The sequence below is a fragment of the Homo sapiens genome, chromosome 10, assembly GCF_000001405.40.
Source record: "Homo sapiens chromosome 10, GRCh38.p14 Primary Assembly".
NCBI lineage: Eukaryota > Metazoa > Chordata > Mammalia > Primates > Hominidae > Homo > Homo sapiens.
In genome coordinates, this window is record NC_000010.11 from 112,752,023 (window position 1) to 112,770,334 (window position 18,312).

General features: G+C 41.9%; 1 protein-coding gene across 7 annotated transcripts in view, besides 1 other annotated feature; it reads left to right on the top strand.

Annotated features, from left to right (window-relative positions):
* VTI1A (vesicle transport through interaction with t-SNAREs 1A) overlaps positions 1 to 18,312 on the top strand; it is a 408,381-nt gene that overhangs the window by 305,035 nt on the left and 85,034 nt on the right. Inside the window, exon 8 of one of the 7 annotated variants that reach the window (NM_001365714.1) lies at positions 331 to 586. The exons of the other annotated variants lie outside the window; for them this stretch is intronic. Within the exon in view, the coding sequence (NP_001352643.1) occupies positions 331 to 346 (16 nt within the window). The 3' untranslated portion in view covers positions 347 to 586. Of the gene's footprint in view, positions 1 to 330; positions 587 to 18,312 lie in introns of those variants that run through there. 7 annotated transcript variants of the gene reach the window in all.
* Positions 1,928 to 2,222: a silencer, noted in NCBI's record as "tiled region #7283; HepG2 Repressive non-DNase unmatched - State 7:EnhWF, and K562 Repressive non-DNase unmatched - State 24:Quies". NCBI's record gives its function as "represses a minimal TATA promoter and a strong SV40 promoter by Sharpr-MPRA in HepG2 and K562 cells {active_cell/tissue: HepG2 | K562}" and the evidence as "EXISTENCE:reporter gene assay evidence [ECO:0000049][PMID:27701403]".

Genomic DNA, 18,312 nt, shown 5'->3' on the forward strand with positions numbered 1-18,312 from the left:
TTAACAGTAATCAAAGAGTTCTTTTAACTTAGAACTCAGGGAAGTCAGGTCTGTCTTCTCAAGCTGAGAAGAACCAAAGTCATGGTATAGACATAACCATACACAGGTAATGTAAAACTATAAGCTGAAAACAGGTATAGAAAAAACACGAGAAGATGCAGTTATGAGAGGGTTGCAGATGCTAATGACCAGTTCCTCCCAACTAAGCTGTGGTGAGACCCAGAGTCAGGAGCTACCAGGACTGAATCCAGCCTGGCTCCAGCCAGGGTCCCCTTCTCTGTTGTCATACTGATTCCATTTTGTCCTCTGATCCCCCTCTGTCTTTTCCAGGTTTGTGCTATTCTGATTACATTATCGACTAGTCTGAAGCAGAGCTGATATCTCTTTACCGGGGAGTCAGCTTCACCAGCCACAGCTGCTGAAAGAATAGCTTGGAGATTTCACCCACTGCATTTCTGTTGCTCAAACTTTTTGACCTTTGTGCTATTTGAGAAATCTTTGAAATGCTGAAGGTATGATTCTCCTTCAGGGGGAACATGCTTTGGAAAAACGCCCACTTAATAAAATGTATTTTCTTTCTGCTGTGGCTGCCAGGGTTTTTATAAGGCCCATTTGCTTTAGCTAGGTGAAGAACAGCTTCTAGAATAGATGTTGCCTCCACTTAGGAAACTATGGATTGTTTTCTGTATTGAACTATCACACTACAGTATTAGTGTTTGGGGAAGAAAGAATTCTGCTGCCTGGTTGGTGTTCTGCTATTTACTACCTTAAAATTCATCCCATTGGGGTTACAGTGGCTTGGCAGTCTCTTTTGGGTATAGTGTAGACTTATTTTTGGTACTTCAGCTCACTTACATGGACTTGTTTTTTACCAATGCCCTTTTTTTTTGTATGATAGAGGTCTATAATTTGTGGACTCCGAAGCTACATTTTACAAATCAATAAGAAAGACATGAAGCCTGAAAAACGGTTTTTTTTCCCTGATTTGTATGTGTATCTTACATAAAATTTCTTCTAAATTAAATTAGATTTAATTATACATTGGAAAAAAATTACCTTTAAAAGGATCAGAGTTTATAAAATAGATGTAGCCCTGAGGCAATGGTGTTATATGAACATTCTACCTGTAACATATACAGATTTGCGATGTTATCAGCTATTAGACTCAACAACTTATTTTTGAAAAAATAATCCTTTGCCAGGTTTATACACATAAGAGAAACAGCCAAGAAACTTTACTCTTTTAAATATAATAATAATAATAATAATAATACAACCTGGAGTTTCATAATCAGAAAGAACAGATGTCCCCAAGACACTTTTGTCAACTCTAGAAAGGGATTAAGTTTGTCTTTTATTTTTTGTTTTTTTCCCAAAATTACTATCCTCAGAGAGGGAGAAAGTATGCAAATCCTAGAAAGAGTTTATTCTCCTTAAAAAGAGAGAATTTTCCCTCCAGGGTTATTGTTTGCTCTTGAGACAAAACCTGTAATTACTATTATCTGATAGTGGATAGCATGGCGTGCGCTATTTGCAAAGAATTTTTTCCATCATTGTTTTCATTGGCCATTCGGAGATATAATTTGGTGATGAAAATTAGCTATTTTCCCCTGGTAAGGGAAAAGAGACTATGCAAGAGCAAAAATAGACTTTTTTCCCCAGACTTCTGTTCTGCCCACCCAGAGTTGAAGTCGCCAGGAGCAGAGTATGATTATTTTTCGTGAATATATTCATATGAAAAGAATTTGATATTTCTTTCTCTCACGGTTGGGAAAGCCTCAATTTCAGCTTATATCCTTGACTTTGTGGGGCTTATAAAAGAGAAAGAAAACCCTTTTGGAAAGAAACCCTTTAGGTCAGAATGAATCAAACCAAGAGAATTTCCAAGCATCCTTTCCACCATCAAGTCTAAAACTGTAAGAAGAAGAACAGTATACACAGCACAGGTCAGGATTGTGGAGCCAGGAAGAGATCCAGCACGCAGACGTCTTGCTGCAACTTGATGTAAGTGTGTAAGTTGGACCGCGAGAGAAAATAAAGCTGTCATTCTGTTCGGGACATTGCACTCTGCAAAAACAAGAAAACTTTGGGAAAATGTTAAGCCCAAAGCAAGCACGTAGAGGTTCCTTAGAAGGTACACCCACGGAGAAAGGGACTGTTGACTTCTCAGGAAGTTATGAAATCTCCTATGTAAAATGTAGTCATGTTTTTGTTATTACTTGATTTAACACTCCAGGAACTTAGCCCAAGCCAGCTGTGATCCTCAGGCCGCCCCGCTCATTAAAATCCCCCCCTTTCGATTCAGACTCCCTCTACCATGACTGACTCCTGCCCAGCCTGCTGTCTGTCAACTGATTCTCTGTAGAATCCAGGAATGTGCCTGTTCAGTGCTCCCAGGAAGTTTCTTCTTAACTGCTGCTTTTCTATCTACAAAAGTAAAAGTTCATTGTAGAAATTCTGGAAAATTCTGAAAACCACAAAGAAAAAGTTCACGACACAGTAATTCTCACCTGTACACACAGTGTACTGTTAAAACTTTGATGATATAAAGCTGTTAATATTTTTTAAGCATTCACACTAATTCTGCAGATACCAAGAGCTGCAAGAAATCACCTAACATGGAAGAACTGAGGCTTTCAAACCTCATTCTTAAGGACAAAGGCCACATCGTCTCTGTCTTTATGCCCTGGCAGCTGGCCAGGCACCCAGCATGCAGGGGGGCACAGAGTGTCTGCAGCATCCACAAACTTGGGGTTTCCGAGGAAAGGGAAGGCAACAAACTAGAATCGGTCTAGGAAAGAGGAAAAGAATTAGTACTTCTCTCAAATGGAGACTATAAAATATATTCCTCAATGATGACATTTTTCTGAAAATGTCAAAAATGTGTTCATAAGATGATTTGGGGACTGGGGCTCAAAGGTTTCCAAGGCTGTTCAGAAGATAGGTTTGCTTAGCTGGGCGCGGTGGCTCATGCCTGTAATCCCAGCACTTTGGGAGGCTAAGGTAGGCAGGAGTTGAGGCCAGGAGTTCAAAACCAGCATGGCCAACAGGGCGAAACCCTGTCTATACTAAAAGTACAAAAATTAGCCGGGCATGGTGGCACACGCCTGTAATCCCAGCTACCTCAGGAGGCTGAGGCACGAGAATCATTGGAACTCAGGCGGTGGAGGTTGCAGCGAGCCGAGATTGTGCCACTGCACTCCAGCCTGGGTGACAGAGCGAGACTGTCTCAAAAAAAAAAGAAAGAAAGAAAGAAAGAAAAGTATGCTTCAAATTCTGTGACATATCTGCCACCCATAGCAGAAAGATGCCCGCTTGGGAAAGCAGACCCCAGCAGATGCTCTTTGGGAAGAGGCCATTATCTGCCAGGGTGGGGGCCACACTATCCACCTTCAGTACTTGATTCCTGGTGGAGAGTGGGTTAATGAAGAATAGTGGAGAAGTAGGAGTGCTTGGTATCCAGGTCCTTATAACTTACCAGGGTCTGCACGTGGACCAAATGTCCCTGCACGGAGCAGCGCCCATAAACAGATTACAGAACAGCCATTCGTTAATCCCAAAACAGTTTTCTGTCAGTTAATTAGAAAATTCATCTTATTTTGCCTCCAGGCCCTGTAGCCTTATTGCATTTGCACATATTTCAAAATGTTTCAAGTACTGACCAGATAACATTAATGAATATATTAGATAGGCAAACGCTTTTAAACAAAAAATAATAAACATACTTGTGTGTATATATATAAAAAATGTTAATTTCGTCTGGAGCCAAACAGGTAATTTTCCCCTCAGCATTTTTTCAGTCAGCTAAGACAGGTTGGCCTAGGAGTGCAGTCAGCCTGTCTGCAGTCTCTGGCTTGACTTGCATACCAGGGTCAGAAACAGACAGCGAGATGATCTGATTGGCCCAAGTCCAGAGCATGCTCACAAGGGCTTCTTTGATGAAAGGGTTCTTGGTAAGTACTGTACCAAAAGCAGCCTGCCACCCTCCTTTCAAAGATACCCATTTAGAGTAATTCCCAGAAAGGAAAAAAACAGCGAGAAAAAGAGAGAGGGAGGGGAGGAGAGGGAGAAAGAGCTGAACTACGGGATCACCGCAAGAATAATTATGCTCCGTGGCGTGGAGAAAGGGGTAAAAGTTATTACAAGTAAACTGTTGGATGTGGAACTAGCTGGTTGGCAACTCCACAGGCACATAAGGAATGTGCAATTAAGCTCATTAAAACATCATCATTATGCTTATCAATCTTTTTCCAAAAGGGGTGGGGCGGGGCAGTGTGTTACGGCATGACTACTTTTGCAGATAAAGATCCCGGGCTACCTAGTTGCCTCTCTCAGCAAACAAAATCAGCCATTCAGTTCCACGCAGCATTTACACTTAGGCAGGCTGGCTCCGACTACATGACACTGGAGTCATGCCTGCACTCTGGGGGAGGCATCCAGGAGGCTGTCTTCTCTCAGCGGGCATGCTTCCTTCTGCTGTGATCTCCATCAGAAAAGCCGGTCTTTATTAAACACCTACTACATGTCCAACACTGGTGTTCAGGAAAATTCAGAAATACTACATATGATGGAAGCCCTGCCCTCTAGGTACTGTTAGCTTAGTTGGAGAGGTGAAATCTGGTCTATGAATCTAGAATATGTCATTAAAATATTTTTTTCTCTCTATTAGCCCCTAATAGGCCAATAGAGATATCCAGCAATAAAAGGCAAATGTAAGCCTGCTTTCTTTAAGATGTATCATTTGGCTGGGCACAGTGGCTCACACCTATAATCCTAGCACTTTAGGAGGCCGAGCCGGGAGAATCCCTGAGTCCCAGAGCTCAAAACCAGCCTGGGCAACATGGCAAAACCCTGTCTCTACAAAAAGTACAAAAAATTAGTCAGGCATGGTGGTGTGCCTGTAGTCCCAGCTACTCAAGAGGCTGAGGTGGGAGGATCACTGGAGCTCAGGAGGTCAAGGCTGCAGTGAGCCGAAATTGCGCCACTGCACTCCAGCCTGGGTGACAGAGTGAGACCTTGCCTCAAAAAAAAAAAAAAAAGATGCATCATTATGCATTCATTCAACAAATACTAATTCAGAGGCAGCCAAGTGTAGGCCTCCATTAGCTACTGTAGGTACAAGGGTGACCAAGCAGGACATGCCCTGGGCCTCACCCTGTAGCAGAGAGACAGTCAGTCAAGCATAACTTCCATGACACAAAATTGCTATGTGATGAGTGCTGGGAGGGAAGAGGAGTAACTATTCCACACACAACTTGCCCATTTTCCAACTTATTCCTGGAGGAAAAGCTCTTTTGCCTTTGCTTTCACCCTTTCTTTGTTGCTGTGATTTTTTTTTTTTTTTTTTTTTTTTTTTTTTTTGGAGACATAGGCTTGCTCCATTGCCCAGGCTGGAGTGCAGTGACACCATCTCAGCTCACTGCAACCTCCGCCTCCCAGCTTCAAGCAATTCTTCCGCGTCAAGTGATTCTCCCGCCTCAGCCTCCTGAGTTACTGGGAATACAGGCACGGGCCACCACGCCAGACTAATTGTTTGTATTTTTTGTAGAGACGGGGTTTTGCCATGTTGGCCAGACTGGTTTCGAACTCATGGCCTCAAGTGATCTGCCCACCTCGTCCTGCCAAAGTGCTGGGATTACAGGCGTGAGTCACTGCGCCTGACCTGTTGCTTTGATTTTTTAATGACATTTTTAATATGACAGTAATATGTTTCTTTTTAAAAACTTGAAAACAGAAAAACTTTCAAAGAAAATAAAAATCATCTGTAATCTGGCCACCCAAAGATACCCATTCTAACTTTTCAATATGTTTTCTTCCAATCTTTTGTTTTTGGTTTTTACAAAACATGCAAATAGAATTGTTGTTTACTTTTTCCACTTGACAGCATGTGAACATTTTATATGTTATAAACTATTGTTTAGGAGGTCTGCACAGTTTAATCTTCTACTGGATATTTTGTTTACAATTTTTCGTGATTATAAATAATATTGCCCTGAGCATCTTTGCATGTAAGTATTGTCATTTATTTCAATCTGACATATATTTGCAAATAGCAGTTATGCAATAACTACCTGTAAAATAAGGTAGGATGTGACTGTAGGACCCACATTAGAGCTGCAGAAACCTGTGGAATGGGAAGTTCTCAGGATTAGCATGAACAGGAAAGCTCATAGAGGAGGGGGGTCTTGCACAGGGTAGTAGAGTCTTTTAGAGTCCCATATTACTGCAGATTTTCTCAAAACCCCCAGCCTGCACTTTCTTCTCATCATCTCTAAGGAGTATCTCTCTATCTCTGCCAGCTCAGGCCTGGCAACCTCCACCACCTATGTCTACCCCTCATCTCAAGCTCTAGTGCATTGATCCACAAACATTTGTCTACTCCAGGATCACCTGGGGTACAGGTTAAAAAGACTCCTGGACACCATCCTAGACCTGCTAAATCAGAACCCGTGGCACAGGGTTCAGGAATCTACATTTTTAAATGCACCCCAAAGTGATTCCAGGGCAAGACATCCAAGACCCAATGCTGCAAGAGGAAGTGCTGGTTGCAGCCACAAAGGCTGGCACTCGGTATTCAAGAGCAAGGGCTTGGGCTGAGAAGTGTGGGATCAGGCTCTGGCCCTGCCATTCACCACTTTGTGGCCTTGGGCCATTCCCCTTGCTTACTGAGTCTGTTTCCTCTTCTGTAAAAGGAAGATCATAATAGAAAATCCCTCCAAGTGTGGTTGTGAAGACTGAATGAGGTGCTTATGGATGGCCCAGCCCATGCCCCATTCTCAATGCATGTTTTGGTAGTTGTTATTATTTTCATACACATCATTGCTTTTTAAGGCATGAGCAGCAGGTAGGCATCTTCCTTTCGAAACCAGCCGGGGCAACATGGCATCTACAAGGTAGGCATCTTCCTACCTGCTGCTCATGCTTTAAAGAGAAACGATATGAGCCTTTTATCTTGGCTGGAGCTGAGTTCACCAATGACACCCTGTGCTGTGAAAGTGGCCTCAGAGATGAGTCTCCTGCCCTGTTCCCTCCCAGGCCTCCCCTGCCTCCCTACCCCAGCCGGCTACCAGAGGGGAGGTCTTTGGTGGCATCTGATTGGTAGAAATGCATCCTTGGTTGGGAGCCAAGTTAAGCTACAGTGAGAGAGAAAAAGAAGCCCGAGGCAATGCTGATGTGGAGAGGTGTGACTGGAGAAACTCCAGGACCCTTCACCAGAGGAAGCCAGCTTGAACTTTCATTCCTGGTTTGATCAAGATAGTGTAAAAATGGACCCCAAAGGTCTTCAGATGGAAAACTAGGTTTTAGGTTTCACTTATGAGCTGTAGTTAAAGCCAAATGCTCATTCCACTCAAATTGTGTGGGTGGATCACTTTCCTCCCACTGTTGAAGTATCATGTTTTGAGCTGCTAATAAACTTAATAAAATCCATTTCTTATTTCCCCGAGCGTATAGAGTTCGTTCACATGCCTACCGAACCAACGTTTAGCGACACTGCGTTAGAAAGTATTTTTGTTGGAAACACAACGGACACAGTTCAATTGCAAAACACTTTTCAAACAAGCTTCTTTTCTCCAGTCTCCAGCTTGCAGAGAGCCATCTGAATTCAGGGAATCCTCCCAGTCAACCATAACACCTACACAAAGTATGAAGGAATTCCGTTTTATTGGTTCAAGAAGCAGATTCAAAGGAACTGCATGCTTTTCTCCTCCCACGGAAGCTCCCACCTGCCCTTCCCCAGCCCCCTTCCCACCCCACAAGTCTCCCATTGCCACTGATGGCTCACTGTTCCAGCACTCCAGGTCTGCCTGGATCAGAAGACATAGGGTATATTTCAGGGTCTAACCAACCCCACATATTCTCGGAGTGAGGGGTGATTGAATGTGGATGCTGTAATTAAACAAGACAAACAAAAACACACATCTGAGAAGTGACGGGGCAGTTTGGGATGGGAGAACAATTCCCATCAATTCCCAATGGGGAATACTGGAACCATCTCAGCCTGGGTTGCAAATAGCCAGAAATGAAGAAGAGGGATAGGGAAGATATAAACACAGAAAAATATATGGGAGTCCACACGAAGAACTAGAATCTAGGGAGGTAGATGTTTGAACAATTTCAAACACAGTAGTTCTCCCTTATCCAAGGGGGATACGTTCCAAGACCGCCAGTGGATGCCTGAAAGCTTGAACCATGGATAGTACTAAGCCCTATTTATGCTGTTTTTCCCTGTACATGTATACCTTTGATAAAGTGTAATTTATAAATTAGGCACAGTAAGAGATTAACAGCAATAACTAAGAGTAAAATAGAACAATTGTAACAATATACTGTAATAAAAATTCGGTGAATATGGTCTCTCTCTCTCTCTCAAAATGTCTTAGTATCTTTCAGACCTTGGGTAACTGAAACTGCAGAAAGCGAAACCATGGATAAGAGGAGACTACTATATCCTGTTCTATTCTAAAATGTTAAAACCTAGTGTTGAGACTCATCACAATTTGTTATGTCTGTGATACTTTTATTACCAGCGTGTGTGTGTTGGGTCAAGGACCAAGATGAGATTTTATTTTATTATAAGAAAAACCAGTCCAGGCACAGTGGCTCACGCCTGCAATCCCAGCATTTTGGGAGGCCAAGGCGGGCAGATCACAAGACCAGGAGTTCGAGACCAGGCTGGCCAACATGGTGAAACCCCATCTCTACTAAAAACACAAAAATTAGCTGGGCATGGTGGTGTGCGCCTGTAATCCCAGGTACCGGGGAGGCTGAGGCAGGAGAATGGCTTGAACCCAGGAGGCAGAGGTTGCAGTGAGCGGAGATCGTGCCACTGCATTCCAGCCTGGGTGACAGAGCAAGACTCCATCTCCAAAAAAAAAAAAAAAAAAACCAAAAAGTTGGAAACAATACAGATGTTCATTGATGTATAATATTAACTTCACATTTGATTTAAGAATGCAGAAATCGGACATAGAACCCTTGTCAGCACTGCTTTATTTTAGTGATAATTGAACCAATTATATACGTGAGCATTTAACTTTTTTTATTTTCAAGGCTGAAAAAATTAAAGTCAACCTCTTACTCAGGCTCATGCATACCATGGACTGTATGTCTTGAGGAATCCGCTGCTATTTAACGAAGTGATTGTGAGATCTTTGCTCTTCTGTGAGGTGAAAAACTAGAAAATTGCAATGCCATGCCCATGTTTGCTGAAGTGATCACCCTTAGATTCTGTGGGGCTTATCTCTTGGTATAATCAGCATGGCCCTCTTAAATAGAGCTGTCTTAAAAACACAGATCTACTGGTAAGGTTTGTTTTAATTTCGGTCTAACAGCCTTAGGATTACCCCTCAAGACTATATCGTCAGGCTTTTGTACAAACAAGGAGCTTACACAAAACTCCCATTATGATGGTGGTTTGAGGGGAGGAAAAAGCCTTGTTTGCTTGATTGAGTTATGATTGTATAGGGAACAAATAAAGGCTTTCTTTCCTTAAACATAACAATTATGTCTTACTCTCACTAATAATGCCACATTTTCTTTTAAAAAAATATTTACACAGCCTGACGTTATTCTTAATGTCAATGCAATGTGTTACCTCTAAGTTAAAATCCAGTTTTAATCCTATAAGCTAGAAAAATAAGTTCGATTTTACACAACTGAGTTTGGAAACTGCTGATTCTGTTGCTGTATTTATTACCAGTGCTTGTTCTCTTTCCCTCCTGCTCTCCCTCCTCTCTCTTTCTTTCTCTGTGTGTGTGTGTGTGTGTGTGTGTGTGTATGTATATGAATATATTAATATATGTATATGCTGATCTTGTATCTTTGTGTATCTATACACGTAGCAATCTTGTTCTTGCCATAAGAAACTATCTTATTTTGTTTTCTGAATATCTACTCCGCGATCTGAGTAAATAAAGTCTTTTACAGTGAACTGATTTACAGCAGTCCTGGACAGCATTATGCTTTCCCCTCCAAAGAAGTTAAATGGCTGTTCTTTGACAGTTGTTGCACTGGATACATTACAGTTTCATTTACTAGATTTTATTTAAAATCTCTCTTAAATAAAAATGGATGGGAAAGCTTTGTTGCTGGGTAAATATGTTATTTCAGCCAAGGGTGGCCAAACACTGGCATCGCGGTTACTTCAGGTCTTATTTCACATGGCTTCAAGGGCTACAGCCCCCTTCTCTGCAGTTGGGCTCATAGGGGATGCTAGAGCCAGTGTTTCAGATGCAGCTCTGTAGCTACAAGGTGTAAAGGGTGAGGGCCAAAAAAGAACAAAAAAAGTGAAATCAGGGGTGAAGTTGGACAAAAGTAGGCTGAGAACTTTTTTTTTTCTCCTGAATGGAAAGCAGGTAGTAATCCAGAAACACGAAGACAGAGAGGTTCCTACGAATTGGAATAGAAGCCGTAGTTAAAGCTTCCTAAAGTGCATTTGAAATTACTTTGGCCCTATATTAGAAACGGAGTGCTTTTTGAGTTTTCCAAATCCATCTTTAAATATTAGTTTCTGCAAGTATATTTGGGCAGGAGATTTGAGTTAGGATATTATAACTTCAACAGGACTGACTAATTTTAATCAGCTAATTTGGCATTTAAAAAGGACTACAGGTCATTGTAATTATGCAAGGGATATGCAGTCATTAGCGTCAGTATTCCAATTTCTCATTAATATCTACCCGGAAGAGAGTTGTTGAATATGAGGCTATCACCACTGCCTGAAAATGAACATTTTCACTTGAAAATGTAGCTTACTTTCCCTCCCAGCTACTTCCAGAATTGATTTCCGTGCTGGGCCTGGACAGCAGTTCCCTTTAGATTTCAGGGCCATGTTTCACATACTTGTAATGGATCAAGACATTTAAATCTCACGGATCCAGCTCAGCACAACCAAAAGATCTGGGCCAATGCTAGTTTTAAATATATATATAACAAGAGCCACAGCTGAAAGATGTTTCTGCATAGCCTCAACCCCTACCTTTTGGCACCAAAAACTCCATACCCAGACAGCCCCTGCCACTTGGCTCTGGACTCAGAAACCTATTAGTGGTACCAGTTTGGTGAGTAGAGAATGAATAACTGAGCATGTGGCCTCTTAGTAGACTTAAAATGTACCACTGGGCCAGGCGCAGTGGCTCACACCTGTAATCCCAAAGGCCTGTAATCCCAGCACTTTGGGAGGTCGAGGCGGGCGGATCACAAGGTCAGGAGATCGAGACCATCCTGGCTAACACGGTGAAACCCTGTCTGTACTAAAAATACAAAAAATTAGCCGGGCATGGTGGCAGGCGCCTGTAGTCCCAGCTACTCGGGAGGCTGAGGCAGGAGAATGGGTGAACCCGGGAGGCAGAGCTTGCAGTGAGCAGAGATCACGCCACTGCACTCCAGCCTGGGCTACAGAGCGAGACACCATCTCAAAAAAAAAAAAAAAAGGTACCACTGGCCTTTGTTACAAGTCTGATGTCCAGGCATAATTTTACATGCCTCACCTGCACTAAGGTGATGAGGTTGAATTGAGTTCTTGCTTCTTTTCTGCCCGTTTATACTAAGAGCATGTTGCCCTGCTTTATAGCTCTGAGAAGTAAATATAATGGCCTGGTGGCATTTACAATCCTGCTTCGCTGAGTTGTGAGACTTCGTAGCCCTGTGTTTGGGAGTTTTGTACAATATATTGATATAAGCTCTCTTGGTTTGGGACCTATTTTATCCTTCATCTCAGTCTAGCTCTCGGGTGTTGTTTTATTAAAATGCACATCGAGGTCATTGAGTTTCTGCCTTTGACCTCTAGCCTCACCCTTTTTCTGCCCACCACCATATAACACGAAGAACATGTGGTAAACTGGGTGCCAATCAGACACTGCTTCACTGGCATCTACAAACATCACCTGATCTCAATCGGTTTATCTGTCTGATTCACGCCAGAGCACCCTCTCCAGAAAACAGCATCCCAAGAATATGTACAGTTTCAGGGAGAGAAAAAGAGAGAGGTGGAAGGAAATATTTTAAATAGTTGCAATCATGCCTGCAATGACTGTCTCCCACATCCCTGGGAGTTGTTTAGAGATCCCCAACAGACTGATGCCCGACCTATAGCAATGAGGATGGCGGCCCCCATTCATGGACATGGCGCCCTCTGGAATCCTTAGTTAAGGGTAGGGATTTTATCTCTCCTGTGCCAGCAGTGTTTGGATGTGGTTTGCATGCATGCGGTCAGTTACCAGCTACTTAACCCCAATCAGTGCCTGCGGTACTTGATGTGTCGGTCATTGCAGCCAGTTGCAGAAATTCTTGATTTTCGGTGGAAATGGAGGAGACTTGCGGTGTGGTTAACCCAAAACAGTGAATAATGCAAGAGTCATCTTTTGAGAATTATCTTTAGTTGGTTCTGTGTTTACAAAAGTGCTTCGCCTTCCTAGTTATATTTTGCTTAAACCAATGTGGTGTTTAAAAATGTTATTGTTAATTCTCTGTTTTATATAGAGTGATATACTGAAAAAAATTTGAAAATTATAGGGAATTGTGAAGAAAATAAAGACCACCATACTGACACCATTAATAGTGCTTTTGCTGAGTATCTGTCTAGACATTTTTCTCTGGATATATACCTGTATAAATATAAATTTTTAATTAAGTTGAGCTTTTTCATTTTACTTAGTATTTTGAGCCTGGTTAATGTTAACATTGTGATCATGGTTAATTCTACATCAATTAATTCATCTCAGCGTCATCATTTTTGTTGTCTGCATGGTAGTTAGTGTTGTCAGCGCACCACAATTTGCTCATACAAATCTGTATTAGTGAATATTTGCATTATTTTAAAATTAGAGTTAACCATGTTATAATTTATACCCTTGTACATACATATACCTGTGTGCAGAGGTACTAATATATCCTTAGAGTTAATGACTAAGGGTGGCATTGCTGGGTCATTTTACATTTTCAAAATGATGACAAACTGCATTTCAGAAAAGCTACTCAAACCCACATTGCTACAACAGCAATGATCCCCATGTCCTGGTTGGATATTATAATTCCCTTTCATCTTTGCTAACTTGAGAAGTGAAAGGGAAATGACATCATATTATTATACCTGTTTCCTAGTTTACTAATTGAATTTGAGTGTGCTAAAATACCATTTCAATTTCTTGCTTTGTAAATTACTAGTTTGTATGTTTTGTTTTGTTTTGTTTTGTTTTGTTTTTTTGAGACGGAGTCTCGCTCTGTCACCCAGGCTGGAGTGCAGTTGGCACAATCTTGGCTTACTGCAGCCTCCACCTCCTGGTTTCAAGCACTTCACCTGCCTCAGCTTCCCACGTAGCTGAGATTACAGGCGCCCGCCACCACACCCAGCTAATTTTTGTATTTTTGGTAGAGGCAGGATTTCACCATTTTGGCCAGGCTGGTTTTGAACTTCTGGCCTCAAGTGATCTGCCCACCTCGGCCTCCCAAAGTGCTGAGATTACAGGCATGAGCCACCTCACCTGGTGTGTTTTTCCTTTTAAGCATTACATTTATGTTTAATTTATTGAAAAATATTTATTGAGCACCAATTACATGCTAAACACTGCTAGGTGCTGGGGAAATATTGGTGAGCAAAAGGGACACAGTTTCTGCCCTTAGTATAGTGGGGGAAACAGACATTAATCAAATAATCGCACAAATTTGAAAGTAATTGTGATGACTGTTATGAAGGAGAGCTTCATGGTGCAGTGGAACTAGATGATAAGTAAGTGGTTCTCAAACTTTAGCAGGCACCAGAATCCCCTGGAGGGATTGTTAAAACAAAGCCCAGATGTCTGGGCCCTACCCCAGAGTTTCTGTGTCTAACCTATCTCTCTGTGATGCTAACGACGCCAGTCCAGAGACCACACCTGGAGAAGCTGTGGTCTAGAGATTTTACCTTGACAGGAGTCCAAGGCAGGTTGATGAAAAAGTGAGACATGAGCTGAGGTATGAAGGCATTACCTAGATGCTTCTGTCACAGAAAAGAGCTTATGCAAGAGCCCTGTGGTGGAAGTGGGCAGAGGACAAGAGACAGAATTAGGCCAGTGTGTCTGGAGAAGCAAGAGAAAGGAGAGAGTGGTATGAGGTCAGGGCCAGACCTATAGGTGTAGTAGCACGTGCTAAGGAATGTTAAGGCCTTTTGACAAGGTTAAGCATAAAAGGAGACATTAGGCAATAAAGAAGGCGTTCCGTGGAAAGAAACACAAGTCAAAGTTTAAAACTGACTACAAGCAATGCAACAAGTGTGGAAATTATACATAAATAAGGTTAAGTTCAACAGATGGTAGCCAGTACTTTCAAAGATAAAAATAATTATTATGGAGTTACTTTAAATTTTTGTTTATAAACTTTGCTAAATTCAGTTAAGAGCTGTGTATAAACTTAAGTTCCAATATAATTTTAGATTTGTTAGTTAGAAAGAAGCTGTTTCTGCAAGAATTGGTATCTGATTCTTACCTGCTGGTTGCTCCAGACAACCTCACTTGAAGAGGAAACCATTGCATTCAAATTAATAGTCAATAGGAAAATCAGGAACTAGATTCTCCTTGGAAGAAATGCTAGTATACTTCAAAGAGGAGAGAAAAATACTTGCTTCAGATTAACAAAAAATGCTCAAGGAATATGGTCCAAAGAACTAAAATCTCCCATTGGATTCCTACCATAGGGAAGAGAAAGTGATGACTTTAGCAAGGGTGCTGGAAAACAGGTCTTGTATGCATCTTCATAAACCTTTTCCTTAGTTAGCTGGGGGCAAAGGAAATTTAACATAGCATAGGTATTCTAAGTATTTACAAGTACTTTAAGAAGTTGTGAGACTGGTTTAGTGGCAGGTAACTTGGATGAGATGGAAGCTAAGGATTTCTTCATTTGAAGCTATAAAGGGACAAAAGAAATAAGATCCGTGCCAATTGTGGTTTAGTGAGAAAAACGTAGCAATAGTACATTCAGGTGTTAGTTATTTAAATCTTGCTCCATATATATTACATATCCTTCAAAGCAGAGTTTAAAGCCACTGATTTCTTAGCCATGTGAGTTTTTATTCTTTAAAAGGGAAATGATTTCATCAGCTTCCCAATCTGTGGCTTAAAGTTGACTTTTCAATCCATATTGGAATAATAGTAATAGCTAGCATTTATTGAGTGCCTTACTGTGTGTCAGGTACTGTGCTAAGCTCTTATATGTGTTAGCGCATTTTAATTCTCACAGCAATCTTTGGGTAAGTAGTTTTATCATCTCCTGCTACAGATGGTAAGGCCAAGGCCCAAAGTCATGAACTAGTAAGTGGAGATCCTGGAATTTGAATCCAGCTGGTCTGACCTCAGAGCCCATACTCTTAATCATTTGTTTATTTTGCTTCCCCAAGTCCCTTCTTCACCTGGAGGCAGCAAACCCTGATTGCAGACCCAGTGCCTAAAAGGAAGTAAGTGCCTATTCAATGCCGAATATGAAGTAAAATCTGTCAGATTAAAAGCACAAGGAGAGAAACCATTCTAGTGTATTTGTGCTAGTTCTGAAAACAGGAGGGCATAAACTAATAACAACAGCATGGCACATACTGGAACAAAGGGGAGGAGAAACTCCCTAATGTTAAATGCATTCGTTTGAGTTTTCAACTAAAGGGTCTTTCCTGCCTGCCTACCTTATTTCTTCCTTACTCTTTTTTTTTTTCTGTTTCTCTGTATTCTCCCAATTTTCTTGGTTGCGATGAAAAAATAATAATTTTTAAAATTGTTTGAAGACCAATGGGACATGTAACTAACTTATTTTAAACACAAACTTCATGTAAGGCATGGTGAGATGATATAAAGGCCAAAATGTTCTGGGCCCTTCACCTCTTCCTAGGACCAGTCTTGTCATCAGGCATCTTGGGGAGGGTGACCTGCAGGTCATGTGCCCAGAGGCACTAGTGTCACAGAAGCCGGACACGTATTACTTCCCCCTTGGATCCTCATGCCTTTCCTGGACTTCTGTGCTCCTATCTGCTCCTTCCCAACCTCATGTGATAGGTGACCTCCAGGACCAAGCCAGGCTTCCCTCAACCCCTCTCTGTCCCTGCCCCGCATATTCCACTTCCGATTTTGACCTTCAGTGGTTTGCAGCTCCCTGCAGATATTGGAAAAGAGAATGAAGTGATTTACATAATGAAAACAAATTGCATGACGAGTGTGAGGATCCATTGTTATGGTATAATGGAATGATTTAGAGGCTTTGAGAGACACAAGGCTGACGAGAAAGAGCCTCTGCCACCCTGGAAATGTAATTACTGCTCCACAAGGCGCTTTCTGGAGAGGCTTGGGATGAATAGAGCAGGACGTGGCAGTTGTCTCTGGAAGAAAGCATAAGACCAAAATAGAAGACTCTTAGCTTTGCAAGTTGGCCTTCTCAACTTTAAGCATATGATGCAATTCCTGGAGCAACTGCTGCGGTCCACGGGAACATTTGGTATTCCCCCATGATCGTCTACCAGTTTCACCCATTACATTTGGGGTTTTTTCTCCTTTTTTGCATGTTTCCACCCTCAACCTCTATCTGTTCTGGTTCTCCGATGCCACAAAGAAAGCATCTTCAGAAACCAGTTAGGATTTCAGATTAAGAGAAACCAAAGAGGCATGACAACTAGAAAACTAAGTGCAGTTCATGATCCCAGGTTGAATCCTGGAGCAGGGGTGAGGGTGGGGAAAGAAATACAGAGCATTACTAGGGCAATTGACAACACAGGCTGTGGTTTCCATGTTAGTATTAGATCATTATTAAATTTCCTGATTTGGGTAAATGTGTTATAATCATGGAGCCTCATGTCTGCAACTGACTCAAATGGTTCTCAATGAAATATGCGTTTATGCAGACAAACAGAGAATGGTACAGCTTAGGGTGCAAAATAATAATAATTAGTAAATTTACATGAAGGGTATAGGAATTCATTTCTCTTGAAACTTCTCTCAAGTTTAAATTTATTTCAAAATAAGTTTTTTTGGTTTTGTTTTGTTTAAAACCCAAACCCATTAGGAAGTAATTCTGGCCTTTTAGGACTGACAGTTACTCATTTCTTGAAAGAAAAACTTGGAAGGGCTAGCAAAGGGAAATAACATGCAGAGCCCAAATAAATTTTGTGTGAAATAGGGAGAGCTAAAATTTGCAATTAATTACATCCACAAGTAAGTTGGAAATCCAGATCACCACCACAGCCCAGCTAACTTCAGAACACAGACAGCAGGCCTTGCTTATACCCTGATGCAGGGTGTGGCTGTCTCAGGGCCTCATTGTAAGGTTATCCCAACTAGACAGTGAGCCCTTCCTGTATGTGGAAGGATTCTACGCTGCCTCTGGTGGAGTCAGAGAGGGCTTTGTCGTTTAATCTGCAGGGTCTATTTACCTCTCCTTCTCATAAGGAAGAAAGTGAGTTGACTTAAAGTCCAAGTCCATTTGGAATATTAGATGAAAGACCATGGAATTTCCCTATCTTCATGTCTTTGATAAGCCAGACTTGCCAGCAGTAGCCTCCTAGTTCATGCCTGGGTGCACCACCCCTCCATAAGCTGGAGGTCCCCAGCAAGGTGGAGCCTTGGTGAGGCCTAAATGACCTCTGAATATCTCCCTTAGGTTCTGTTCTGGGTGTGGTATCAGGCTTGCAAGCCAATGCAGTTTCAATCCATGCATCCCATTGTTCTGCCTAGTATTGGAAAGGTATATGGCAAGATCCAGGAGTCTCACCTCTTTTACCTTCCTGTTGCAACACCACAGACCTTAGAACATAGCCTGGAGAAAGAGCAGGTAGGAATCTGGGAAATAACCCAGGTCAGAGGTGGCATATTTACATACCTTAGGAACCAGGTGGGTACCGCAGTGAGTGAAACAGGCCAGGAGGTGTTGAGAACTGGAGAGGGAGTACCCTATCCAGAGGCTTCTCAGAATCCACCCCATGGTTGCCATAGGGGCATGTAGGCCCACTGGGGTCATATCTTTTGGAGTTTCCAGAATGCTTGCATTCTGGATTACAAATCTTAGCATTTGTAAATGTTGGCAACGATTTTTTTTTTTTTTAATTTCAAACCGAGCAGGCCAAACCAACACATCTGCAGGCGGAATCTGGCCATGGACTGCCAGTTGGTGACCTCTGATCTGATCCAACCCACTCGTATTATGTGTTTGACACTTTTATTCCACAGTTATTGAATTCCAACTGGATGCTGGTACCCACAGATGGCAAGTAACTGGCCTAAGATCACACAGCTAGTTAATGGCAGAGGCAGGCATACTGTATGAAAGTGTTAAACTCATGTAGTCTGTATGCCAGTATGACACGAAAAC